Below are 13,129 nucleotides of genomic sequence, written 5' to 3'. Positions count from 1 at the left end.
AGCTCTTTTTTTGGACCAACATCCAGGCCCAAGGGGACAAAGCTGGTTTATAACTAGGACAGCTCTAGGGAGACTTTTTCGGAAGGTCTGTTTGCATTTTCTATGGCACATCAAAACCAGTCATAGAGAACGAAAAGAGCAGACCAGGTAGAGAGATGGAACAGAAGCAGAAGCCAGCCACACCCCCATTTGCCACTGCAGGCTGCACCCCAAAGCCAACCCAAGCTATGAGAAAAGAGATTTAGCACCAAGGCATCTGGGAGTTCTGGTGAATATGTGGGACTGGAATTACCACAACTCTCACATTTCAAAGTCTCAGATTTCGAAGTGAAAACCTAAAGCAACGCAGGGAATGTCTGCTAATTTTCCTGTGAGTAAAAAGAAATTATTAGCCTATCGTTTTCATCCCCAGTCAGAGGACAGGAACCAAAACTGCCTAAGGTTGAAAAGTTGCATCTTGATTATCATTCAAATGTCATCTGGCTTATGCAATCTGCACACAGATTGAATAAACCACCCCCTCACCCCCCAACTCTCTCTTTCTGTCTCTCTCTTTCTGCTTTTCTCTCTCTCTCTCTCTCTCTCACACACACACACACACACACACACACACACGCACACACACATTGAACTCAACTGGGGATACAGTAATAAATAAGACATAAACTCTACACATAAAAAACTCATTTGGGGGGCTGGGCACGATGGCTCATGCCTGTAATCCCAATACCTGCACTTTGGAAGGCCGATGTGGGTGGATCACCTGAGGTCAGGAGTTTGAGACCAGCCTGACCAATGTGGTTAAACCCCAGCTCTACTAAAAATACAAAAAATAAGCCGGGTGTGGTGGCATGTACCTGTAATCCCAGCTATTCAGGAGACTGAGGCAGGAGAATCGCTTGAACCCAGGAGGCTGAGGTTGCAGTGAGCCGAGATCACACCACTGCACTACAGCCTGGGCGACAGAGTGAGACTCCATCTCAAAAAAAAAATTAAAAAAATTAAAAAATAAAAAAAAACTCATTGACTCATTTTTTGAAGGGGTCAAATACATCCTTACAGTACATTGTAACAATTCCTGAGATAGACCTCAAAGCAAAATGCTGTGGAAGGTCATGGGAGAGAGACTGGGGCAGTGCAGTGCCTTAGATCACAGGTTTTCCTGTCTTTGAAATGTTTGAGAAACCCTGAAACAAAATATTTTGATTCTTTTTAATAAGTGTAGAAGGACCATTGTCTTAGAGAATAAAGGAGGTTGCACTCGCTTCCCCAGTCTCAGCAGCAAGTGAAGTTCAAAGGTCTGATCCTGGCCAAGAAACTTGCCCCATCCTGGGGTCATTGACAGTCTCATCGAGGGCTTCCAGAGACAAAATGCCTAGGAAAACAGTGAAGAAGCCCAGAAGCTCCAGTTTGGAATTTTACCAAATTCAGTACCTACGTCCACGTACAAACACTCCATCCTCCAACTGGAATAGCTGGATTATCTTGCCCGGTGGTTCTTCAGCCTCCACTTTCAAGTATCCTGAGGCTGCTCAACTCAGCTCTGGACAGGTCTGATGGGGAGAATATTCCCTCCTAGTGTTACCTTAAAGATGTGGCTATCTCCCTGTGGTGTCTAGCTCTTCATCCTTGTTCTCCCCAAATTTCCTCACACAGCAAGCCTGCTGTCTTTCCACGATAGTCCCTAAGAAGCATGATAATTCCAACTCAGTCCTGTCCCCCAACTACCAGGTGCCTCTTCCCTGGGCTAAACTGCCCTTGTTCTTCAACTGTTTTTTTGTTTTGTTTTGTTTTGTTTTTGTTTTTGTTTTTGTTTTTTGGGGGTTTTTTGAAACAGTGTCTCCCTCTGTCACCCAGGATGGAGTTCAGTGGCGCAATCTCGGCTCACTGCAACCTCCGCCTCCTGGGTTCAAGCGATTCTCCTGCCTCAGCCTCCCGAGTAGCTGGGACTACAGTTGCGTGCCACCACACCTGGCTTATCTTTTGTATTTTTAGTAGAGACAGGGATTCACCATGCTAGCCAACAGGGTCTCGATCTCTTGACCTCGCGATCCACCCGCCTTGGCCTCTTAAAGTGCTGCAATTACAGGTTGAGCCACCGTACCCAGCCCTTCAACTGCTATTTTAAGCCATGACTTTGAAACTCCTGTTCATCCTGTCCTGTCTTGTGAATGTATTTCAGGTGGCCTCTCAAATGAAATCAGCTTTAAACTGAGAGATGAAAGAACTGAATGAGCAACACTATAACTGTGAGAAGGTTCCAGGAGGAGGGGAAGGCAGAGGCAAGACCCTGAGGCAGAGGCATGCTCACAGCTCCTAGAACAGCAAGGAGCACAGTGCCGCAACAGAAGCATGAGCCGAGCAGAGTGCAGTCAGAAATGAGGTGAGAGGGCCAGGCATGGTGGCTCACGCCTGTAATCCCAGCACTTTCGGAGGTAGGCGGATCACCTAAGATCAGGAGTTCGAGACCAGCATGGCCAAACTGGTAAAACCCCATCTCTAATAAAAATACAAAAACATTAGCCGGGTATGGTGGTAAGCGCCTGTAATCCCAGCTACTCCAGAGGCTGAAGCAGGAGAATTTCTTGAACCCAGGAGGTTGAGGTTGCAGTGAGCCCAGATTGCACCATTGTACTCCAGCCTGGGTGACAGAGCAAGACTCCATCTCCAAAAAAAAAAAAAAAAAAGAGAAAGAGAAATGAGGCGAGAGGCAGTCACAGGTTAGGCTAGGCTGGGTCTTATAGGTAGACCGGGACCTGGGATAAACTTCCAAGTAATGAGAGTGGCATTATTAGATTGATTTTTGAAAGACATCACAATGTAGTTTGAGAGGCAGGTGGCAAGAGATGATAGAGCAGACCTCTGAAGCATTGGTCCCTGGGGTCTGGGAGACTTGACATGGCATGTCCTGGTGCACAGACATTGGTCATTGTCCCTGCAGGAAGCCTAGTTGGGGGGGAACTCAGAGGCCAAGATGGAAGAATCATAACATCAAGGGTTAACTTTATTTTTTTTTATTTTTATTTTTTATGCTTACGATGTGTCTGCCACTTTTCTACATGTTGCAGATGCTTTAACTCATGGAATTCTCATGATCATCCTGGGACAAGGGTTTTGTAAGAATTAAAGCCCCCTTTTACAGCTAAGGCAACTGGGATACAGAGAAGTAAAAACGAACTCCACGGGAGAAAAAACTGGTGCTGCGGGGAAGAGGTCTTGGGCTTCCCAACTGCCAGCCCCACACTCCTCTGAAGTGTTCTTGTGTTCATCTTTGTGTTCAAAGCCTCGAGAATGTACATTTCCATCCAAGGTCAGCATGGTAGGGGGTGAGGCCAATGTCCTCACCAGAATGCAGCAGTGTTGTCCACTGAACTAACCCCATTATGTCACAGTTGGATGTGGAGGAGCAAACCAGGCAGAGTCACTTTGTGAAGGGCTTCAAGTTGCTCTGCCAACCAATGAGGAGTCATTAATGATTCCATAGTCCCCCTGGGCCGTTGGCATGACATTGATAATGGAGATGAAGAGATTTGTGTCCTTGTTCTCCAAGGCTAGGCAGAGATAGAGCTCATCGCCAGGTTCCAAATTAGCAGACAAGGCCCTTGGAGAACTTGTGGGGCTAATTAGTATTAGGGATGAGTTTAGAGATGAGCTTGTGTGCACACGTTCTCGGGACAGTCCCACTGGACCCATCCTTGGTTCTGAGTGTTAATTAAAGCTTCTACACTGTAGCTTGAAATTTAGTAGGAAATAAATTAACATAGGTTAATTCCATAGACAAAAGAGACCATCCTTCCTTGAAGTCTCATTCTCTTCCATATTTGGGCAGCTGGACAAGTTCCAGGGGCACCACCTGGTGATCTTAGAGTTCATTCTCCAGATTTGTTATAATCCCTGTAGTGTCTCTCTAATTAGCAATGTCAGAATCTTCCTCCTGGCTCCCAAATCTCTTAGGTTAACTGAAGGGCAGAGTGGTGAGAGGAAGTCTGAAAGATTGGGGCTGAAATTCTTGTTCTGGCAGTAACTAACTCCAAGACCTTAAAGTTGCAGAGCCTCTCAGAGCCTCAGTATCTCCATCTGGAAAATGGGAATGAAAACAGCAAAATGCCTCCTGGAGTTAGTGTGAAATGAGAGGACTGAGTGATATCCAAGGAAAAGGCATGAAGTGAGCCCTCGGGAAAGGGCTGTCTCCATGTGCACAGTCCTGGAGTGTGTCTGGTCACTGTCCTCCAGGTACCTTTGGAGAAATGCACCCTCCTGATTCTAATCTACAGCAAAAAGCACAGATGTATCTCCAGTGCCCTAGGACTGGTACTTTATGCAGAGGCACCCTGGTACCCAGAGATACTGGGTCTTTCACTGTGTTGCCAGGCAAGCCTCCAATGAGAAGGAGCTGCTAGACACCAAGGGGTGAATCCACAGTAAGGAGGGCTCTGATTGTACTTGGCACTTGGACTTGGTCCAGTAAAGGCAGAGATGATGAAGAAAGCCCTTCTTCTAAATGGTTCCAGAGCCTTCTGCAGACCATCACATATTAGGACTCTGTGGGGGTCATTAGCCAGAACTCTGCCCACCTCACCCAGGGAACTCTGACCATCCAAGGCATGCGGCTCCTAGTGCATTTAACTCTCAACAGAACCCACATCGCTCCCTCACTTTGATAAAAGGCTGCCCTGCGGCAGCTGGAACCCACTCTGGGGGTCAATGCAACAGACAGAGTCCCTGGGAACAGCCTTGGGTTGATGGGTATAGGTTATCAGTGCTGCAGCTCCCTGGCCCCTGCCTAGGGCAGCTCCGAAGTATGACCTACACCGTTTCCTGAGCTCCTCTGTGGAGTTGAGCCAAAGTCAACCTCCGCAGGCCTTTGCTTGACATCACAGCCTTGCTTGGTCTCCTCCCCTACGCAAGCCCACTGCCCCAAAACCACACCAGTGTTTTCAGGTGCACACTTCCTAATGCACCACTTTCACATTCATTATTTCAGGATCTGCTTCTGGGGAAGCCAACCTAAGGCAGAAGGAAATTCAGATAACAGGTATTTTGTACCCGCTAAGTGCCAGTCACTGAGTTATAATGTTTTTCTTATTTTTAATACATTATCTCATTGTATTCTCATAATTAATGTTTGGGGATTTTTAAAGGTAAGGAAACTGGGGCTCAGAGATTTAAGCAACTTGCCCCAGGTTACACAGCTGGGAAGGGGTGAGCATCTTAGCCTGGGAATCCAGTCCTCTTGCCTCTGCCTCTTTGCCTTGGAGGGTAGGGTAGAGATGGAGGCAGGAATGCTAAGAGCATCTCCAGGATGCTGCAAAGCTTCTGTCTCTTCTGTATGTTGAAGTTTCTGTGCTATATTTTATTTTTAAAATAGGTTCTATTTTACAAAGAGAAAGTTGAAAGCCAGTGCATTTTATCTTCTCCACGGGACAGCAATGAAGATAAAATGAAATAATGACTGTAAAGTGCTCAGCACAAAGCTTGGCACACAGCATACAGCCCATAAATGTCTGCAAACAGGATTATATATTTATAATGTGCACTCACAATTTATATGTGCTTGTCATAAATATGCCACCTATAATTTAAGAAAACAAATAATTTACCTATTTTCAACAGATGCAAATACTGTCCATGTCTAGTTAGTAGAAATAAATTATAGAAGCATGCATATATGCATTATTTCTACCTATATATTTAGAGTGAGTGGATACAAATGATTTGACTCGGCCGGGCGCTGTGGCTCCCGCCTGTAATCTCAGCACGTTGGGAGGCCTAGGTGGGTGGATCACCTGAGGTCAGGAGTTCAGGACCAGCCTGGCCAACATGGCGAAACCCGTCTCTACTAAAAAGTACAAAAATTAGCCGGGCGTGGTGGCAGGCGTCTGTAATCCCAGCCACTCGGGAGACTGAGACAGGAGAATTGCTTGAACCCGGGAGGCGGAAGTTGCAGTGAGCCGAGTTCATGCCATTGCACTCCAGTCTGGGAGACAAGAGCGAAACTCCGTCTCAAAAAAAAAGATTTGACTCTAAGTTATGTGCATGTGTGATTCCTCACAGTAATGTAGCGGGTTCTGGAATGTGGGTCCTTAAGAAAGGTGAAAATTGGCCGGGTGCAGTGGCTCACACCTGTAATCCCAGTACTTTGGGAGTCCAAGACAGGTGGCTCACCTGAGGTCAGGAGTTTGAGACCAGCCTGGCCAACATGGTGAAACCGTTTCTACTAAAAATACACAAATTAAATACACAAATCAGCCAGGCGTGGTGGTGCACGCCTGTAATCCCAGCTACTTGGTAGGCTGAGGCAGGAGAATCCCTTGAAACCAGGAGACGGAGGTTGCAGTGAGCCGAGATCGAGCCATTGCACTCCAGCCTGGGCGACAAGAATGAAACTCCACCCTCCCCCCACCACCCCCCGAAAAAAAGAAAAAGAAAGGTGAAAATTGGCCAAGCATGGTGGCTCACACCTGTTATCCCAGCACTTTGGGAGGCCGAGGCTGGCGGATCACTTGAGGTCAGGAGTTCAAGACCCAGCCAGGCCAACATGATGAAACTGCCATCTCTACTAAAAATATAAAAATGAGCCCGGTCGCGGTGGCTCATGCTTGTAATCCTAGCACTTTGGGAGACCGAGGCAGGCAGATCATCTGAGGTCAGGAGTTCAAGACTAGCCTGGCCAAAATAGTGAAACCCTGTCTCTACTAAAAATACAAAAATTAGCCAGGCATGGGGGCACAAGCCTGTAATCCCAGTTACCCGGGAGGCTGAGGCAGGAGAATTGCTGGAACTTGGGAGGCGGAGGCTGCAGTGAGCCGAGATCACGCCACTGCACTCCAGCCTGGGAGACAGAGCAAGACTCCAAAAAAAAAAAAAAAAAAATTAGCCAGGCATGGTGGTGGGTGCCTATAATCCCAGCTACTCAGGTGGCTGAGGTAGTAGCTCGCTGGAACCCAGGGAGTCTGAGGCTGCAGTGAGCCAAGATTGTGCCACTGTACTGCAGCCTGAACAACAGAGTGACAATCTGCCTCAAAAATTAAAAAAAAATTTAAAAAAAAAGGAAAGAACAGGACAGAAAAGAAAAGTGAAAATCAGCTTGATACCCCCACCTCAGCCCTATCCCTACTCTCACCCTCATTGTCTGTGTATTTGTCAACAATTGAGGGAATTTTCCTCACCATCATCAGCTCATCCCATCCCTGTGCCGCTGTGCACCAGCAGAGAGGACCCACGGACCATTCTCCATCCAGGTGTGGGCCACCCCTGCCCCAGACCCAGAGCTCCATGCTGCATCCACTCATCACATGGCAAATACTTGGCAGGACCTATTGCGTGTCATGTTCTGTGATAAACACTGGGACAGACAACAGCAGAGAAACAGCAAGGACAATAATTCATCAGACACTCCCCCTATCCCCATAGTGAGGGAGATTGATAATAATCAACCAACTGTACACACAAATGTATATGAGCAGCTGTAGTAACTCTACAAATGCTATGGAAAGAAAACTGTTTCATGATTCTAGGACAGAAGCGTTCTCTGCAAAAGAGACATTTGAGAGGAAATCCAAAGATGAACAGGTGTTAGCCAATGGAGTGAGAAAATCTTCAGATGGAGCTAAGACCCTAAGGTGGAAGGGAGCAGGGGATGCTCAGGCACAGGGCCGGCACCCGGAGAGGATGCGCAACGTGAGGCTATAGAGGTGGTCAGGGCCATACAGGCCACATTAAACACATAGGGCTGGATCGACTGTGGGACCAGGCAATTATTAAGTGATGAAGTTCAGAATTTGCACAAAGCACTCTAGTGACTAAAGAAAAATGGAAGATGGGAGAATGGAGAAGCCACAGGCAGCCTCCAGTCCGGAAGCTGCCCATTGCTCCATCGTTCAAAACAAGACAGCAACCCCCTTCCCGCTGCTGGCTCACTGGTCTATGATTTAGGGGACATGCCGTACCCGCCGAACCACCAAACATTACCCACTCTCACCCCACCTACTCCCCTCTGGCCACGTGGACAAATATTAATAAATTATTTCCCAATCCCCAGTTTTCCTTTCATTCCACTTGGAGAAATAAAATCAGATTCAGAACATGGAACAGCTTATTAAAAACGTAAACTCACTCCTGGCCTCTATGTGTTTGTAATAAAAGGTACTTTTTAATCAAAAGAAATTTCTAACTTACTGCAGGGCTCAGCTTGCTGAACTTAATCTGTGTGAAATGCCGCTTTTCTATAGGACATGGGCTGGCATCTGGTAGAGAATTAAGCAGCTATCTCAGCTGGCTCTGATCAGCTCTTTAAGAGGCTACACACTTGGGAACACATCAAGATTGGAGGAGTCTGAGGCTCATCACCAAGAAGGTGTTTGGGTCGGATATGTTTGAAAATGGATGAACACCTGAACAAAGCTTGGCCCGAGGAATGGAACAAGTCGATTTCATTCACTCAACTGTTTGTTCAACAAATATTTATTGGGCTTCGTCTATGAGCTTGTCTGTCTATGAGACAGTCACTGTCTCAGGCATGGAACGTCTAGAAATGACTCCCATATGGTTCCAGCCCTCAAGGAACACCCCAACTAGTGGGGAATCAGATAGGCCAATCATATCCTGCAACACAATGAGCCAATTATAAACTACAACACAATGATGAGCGCACTCAAGGAGAGATACACAGCGGGAAGGCAAAGAAGAGGAAGAGAGAAGAGCTTCCCCCAGGAAGGAAGCATTTTACCTGAAACTACTCAAGACCCTTTCTTTTTCTTTTTCTTTTTTTTTTTTTGTGAGACAGAGTCTCGCTCTGTCGCCCAGGCTGGAGTGTAGTGGCCTGATCTCGGCTCACTGCAGGCGCCGCCTCCTGGGTTCAAGCCATTCTCCTGCCTCAGCCTCCCGAGTAGCTGGGACTACAGGCGCCCGCCACCGCGCCCGGCTAATTTTTTTTGTATCTTTAGTAGAGATGGGGTTTCACCGTGTTAGCCAGGATGGTCTCGATCTCCTGACCTCGTGATCCGCCCGCCTCAGCTTCCCAAAGTGCTGGGATTACAGGCGTGAGCCACCGCGCCCGGCCTACTCAAGACCCTTTCTGTTGCCGGGGACTTATCCGGACTCAACTTGGCTTAAACGAAAATTTATCCGGACTCAACTTGGCTTAAACGAAAAAAGGGAATTTATTGGCCCAAGTAAACAAGTCTAGAGGTAGAGCCTCAGGCATGGATGGACCCAAGGAATCTGGCCAAAGGAAAGGCCTGTTTGCAGGCCCCACAGCAGCTCTCTCTCCACCTCCTGGCTTGGCTTTCCGCTCTCAGCAAGCTTCAGCCTTGGGCACATTTCCCTAAGTAGTGATCAAGCAGCCCCCAGAGCCTCCAGCAACTCCTGAGAAGAAAAGAGCGTATTTCCCAGTAGCTCCAGGAGTAGTCCTGGGCCGACCGTCTTTGGCCTGACTTAGGTCTTGTTTTTTTTGTTGTTGTTTGTTTTTTTTTTTATTTTATGTTTTTGAGACGTAGTCTGGCTCTGTCGCCCGGGCTGGAGTGCAGTGGCGCGATCTCAGCTCACTGCAAGCTCTGCCTCCTGGGTTCACGCCATTCTCCTGCCTCAGCCTCCTGAGTAGCTGGGACTACAGGCGCCCGCCACCATGCCCGGCTAATTTTTTTCTGTTTTTAGTAGAGACTGGGTTTCACTGTGTTAGCCAGGATGGTCTCGATCTCCTGACCTCGTGATCCGCCCGCCTCAGCCTCCCAAAGTGCTGGGATTACAGGCGTGAGCCACCGCGCCCGGCCCTGGCTTAGGTTTTGTATCTCCCTGGGCCAATCCCTGCTGCTAGCAGGTGTGAACCCAGAAAATCTGAGACAGGTCTCAGTTAATTTAAAAAGTTTATTTTTGCCAAGGCTGAAGACGCACCCATGACACAGCCTCAGGAAGTCCTGGTGACATGTGCCCAAGGTGGTCAGGGTACAGCTTGGTTTTATACATCTTAGGGAGACAGGAGACATCAATCTATACATGTAAGAAGCATATTGGTTCAGTCTGGAAAGGCGGGACAACTTGAAAGGAAAGCAGGAAGACTCACAGTGGGAGGGAGCTTCCAGGTCACAGATAGGTGAGACACAAACTGTTGCATTCTTTGAGCTTCTGATTAGCCTTTCCAAAGGAGGCAAATCAGATATGCATCTATCTAAGTGAGCAAAGGAGTGACTTTGAACAGAATGAGAGGCAGGTTTGCCCTAAGCAGTTTCCAGCTTGAGTTTTCCTTAGTGATTTTAGGGGCCCAAGACATTTTCCTTTCATGCAGGGGTAGGAGGTGTTGCCTGGGGTAGGCCTGGGCCATGTGCCCATCCTTACAGTCAGAGGAATGGGGAAGAAGTTGTGCCAACCTTTCCTAGTGACATTTATTCCCAAACATTCATTAAGGAATATTGTGAGCCAACCACTGCCGTGAGACAAGAGGGGGCACCAGGACAGAAAGAACAGAATTCCCTGCCCTGGGGGAGTTTACAAACGAGTAAAAGACACAGTGGGGCAGATTCAGGAAGTGCAAGCACTCGGGGAAATAAACCAAGCAATGAGGGTGCAGTGCTGGGAGAGGGGTCTAGGCTGCTGTATTAACAAGGGGAGTTGAGGGTCTCACTGAGAAGGAGACACCATTCGTACAGAAGCTGAAGGGGCTGAGGCCTGAGCCAAGTGACTGCCTGGGATAAGAGAAAATTTAACAGAGGGGGGAAGATTTTTTTTTTTTAGATGGAGTTTTGCTCTTGCGGCCAAGGCTGGAGTGCAGTGGCGCCACCTCAGCTCACCACAACCTCCGCCTCCCAGGTTCAAGCAATTCTCCTGCCTCAGCCTCCCAAGTAGCTGGGACTAAAGGCGCCCGCCACCATGCCCAGCTAATTTTTATATTTTTAGTAGAGACAGAATTTCACCATGTTGACCAGGCTGGTCTCAAACTCCTGACCTCAGATGATCCACCCACCTCGGCCTCCCAAGGTGCTGGGATGACAGGTGTAAGCCACGGCGCCTGGCCAGGAAGATCCATTTTTAAGGTCCTGAGAGAGCAAGGGCCTGACAGTTTTCAGGAGCAGCAAAGAGTCCCCTAGCTTGACCCAAGCGAGTGACAGGGAGAAGAGCAGGTCAAACGGGGGTGGGAAGGTGGGGCCAGAGCATGTGGCACCTTAGAAAGTGTGAGAGAGGTGGCACCCCAGAGGAAAATTAAGATTCTCTGACCAGAGACCCAAGGATGGATCCTGGGGAGATGAGACAGAGGTGCCTTGCTCAGGGTCCAAGAGGAGCATGAACGGACAGGTGAGGAGAGAGTGGCCTTGATACAGGGAATGGCAGGGAACAAGGACAGAGAGATTAAAGACACAGTGCGTTCTAGGAGCCAGCCGCTGTTTGGGCTACAATATTTAAAGAAAGAGACTGCGTCTGGGTCAGGGTTGCCAGGAGGAGACACAGGAAGGAGAGGGACAAAGTGTGCAGCTACGCTTTGCTCCAGGCCCCTGACGGAACTGTGCTGGCGTTCAAGAGAGTCTCTGGAGGCAGAAGAGGGCTCACAGAATCAATTGCGCCTCCTAATCTCCCATCCCAGGAAACCTGCAAATATTAAAATGACCACTCAAGGGGAACATAATTTGATTTCAGGTTTAATTGAAGGACATCGTGCAAATGTGGAAATTTAGAGAGAGAAAATTATTCCTGGAGATGGTTTCATTTGCATTTCTTTCCAAAAACATGGCAAGCTGCGTGTTTAAAATGCTAGATGAAGAATATTGCAAGCAGATAACTATCTATCTTCTTTCCCTAGAAAGGGTAGATGACATTTGGGATCCCCTTGGCAGATAATAATATTAGTGAATATTCACAAAATACTGAAGTTGGCAACGCACTGTGCACATATGTGTATCATTAGCAGAAACAGTAGCAGCTAATATAGTGGAGTTCCACCCCACATAGAGTGTGAAGGGCCCAGAGTCCTAGAAAATCTAGTCCCACCCAGCAGACACATGAAATTCAGCAAACTCTTGGGGAACTTCATCAATATGCCACAAACTGGGCCAAGCCCTGGGGGTAAACTGGGTTTCTGCTAGAAGCCAGGATGGTCCTGGAAACCAGAAAACGTGAACCAGAAACACAGCCCTCCAGGATAATAAGAACAACTCCATAAAAATGGTCACAAGCACAAGCTCTGACCTTATTTCGGGATTTGTAGAGCATTTTACTCTTAGCAAAGTGCATTCTTGTGCACAACTTCTTGCCCTGGCAGCAACTCTGTGCAGTAGGAATTGGGCCAGATCTGCATCACTTTGGTGTTTTGGTGAATAGGATTTGATCTTTATCTTAAAATCCTGGGTGACCTAATCCAGCACGTCCTTCTACTTGCTTCCTGGCTTCTACTGTCAGCCTAAGAGCCGTGATTTTCATTGATTTAATTCTCAGAATAACCTATGAAGTCCCTATCTTCAGGTTAGGACATTGAAATCTAGACTGAGTCAACTGCTTCAAGGTCACTGTCGAGACTTGACCCCAGGCTGTCTGGCTCAGGAAGCTACAGTCTTCGCTACTTCCCTGTACCACAAATGGGGGTGAATGTGGGTGTACCCAGCCCTATGCTTGTTGTCTGAGGGTTGAGACTTGGATGTGAATGCAATTTGTGTTCCCTTTTTTTTTTTTTTTTTTTAGACAGAGTCTCGCTCTGTCGTCCAGGCTGGAGTACAATGGCATGATCTCTGCTCACCTCAACCTCCACCTCCCAGGTTCAAGCAACTCTCCTGCCCTCAGCCTCCCGAGTAGCTGGGACTACAGGCATGCACCACCATGCCCAGCTAATTGTTTGTTTGTTTGTTTGTTTGTTTGTATTTTTAGTAAATACAAAGTCTCGCCATGTTGGCCAGGCTGGTCTCGAACTCCTGACCTCAAGTGATCCACCTGTCTCAGCCTCCCAAAGTGCTGGGATTACAAGAATGAGCCACGATGCCCAGTCTGAGGTGTTCTTTTTAATGCTCACTACAATCCCTAAAAGCTTGCTCTTCGTAGCCCCACTCTTAGGCCTGGAAATAAAGCCTTAGAGATACTAAACCACCACTAACGTCAGAGTTTATCCATTTAAAAGAGCCAGAAGAGGGGTCCTGATCCTGCTCAGCTCCAC

General features: G+C 47.7%; 1 annotated feature.

Annotated features, from left to right (window-relative positions):
* Window positions 2,879-3,077: a silencer, noted in NCBI's record as "fragment chr8:134643666-134643864 (GRCh37/hg19 assembly coordinates)". NCBI's record gives its function as "represses an EF-1alpha promoter that drives an FKBP-Casp9 reporter gene in an ReSE screen in K562 erythroleukemia cells {active_cell/tissue: K562}" and the evidence as "EXISTENCE:reporter gene assay evidence [ECO:0000049][PMID:32094911]".

Source organism: Homo sapiens, chromosome 8 (assembly GCF_000001405.40).
Source record: "Homo sapiens chromosome 8, GRCh38.p14 Primary Assembly".
Classification (NCBI taxonomy): domain Eukaryota; kingdom Metazoa; phylum Chordata; class Mammalia; order Primates; family Hominidae; genus Homo; species Homo sapiens.
This window is presented reverse-complemented; position numbering and strand designations above follow the sequence as displayed.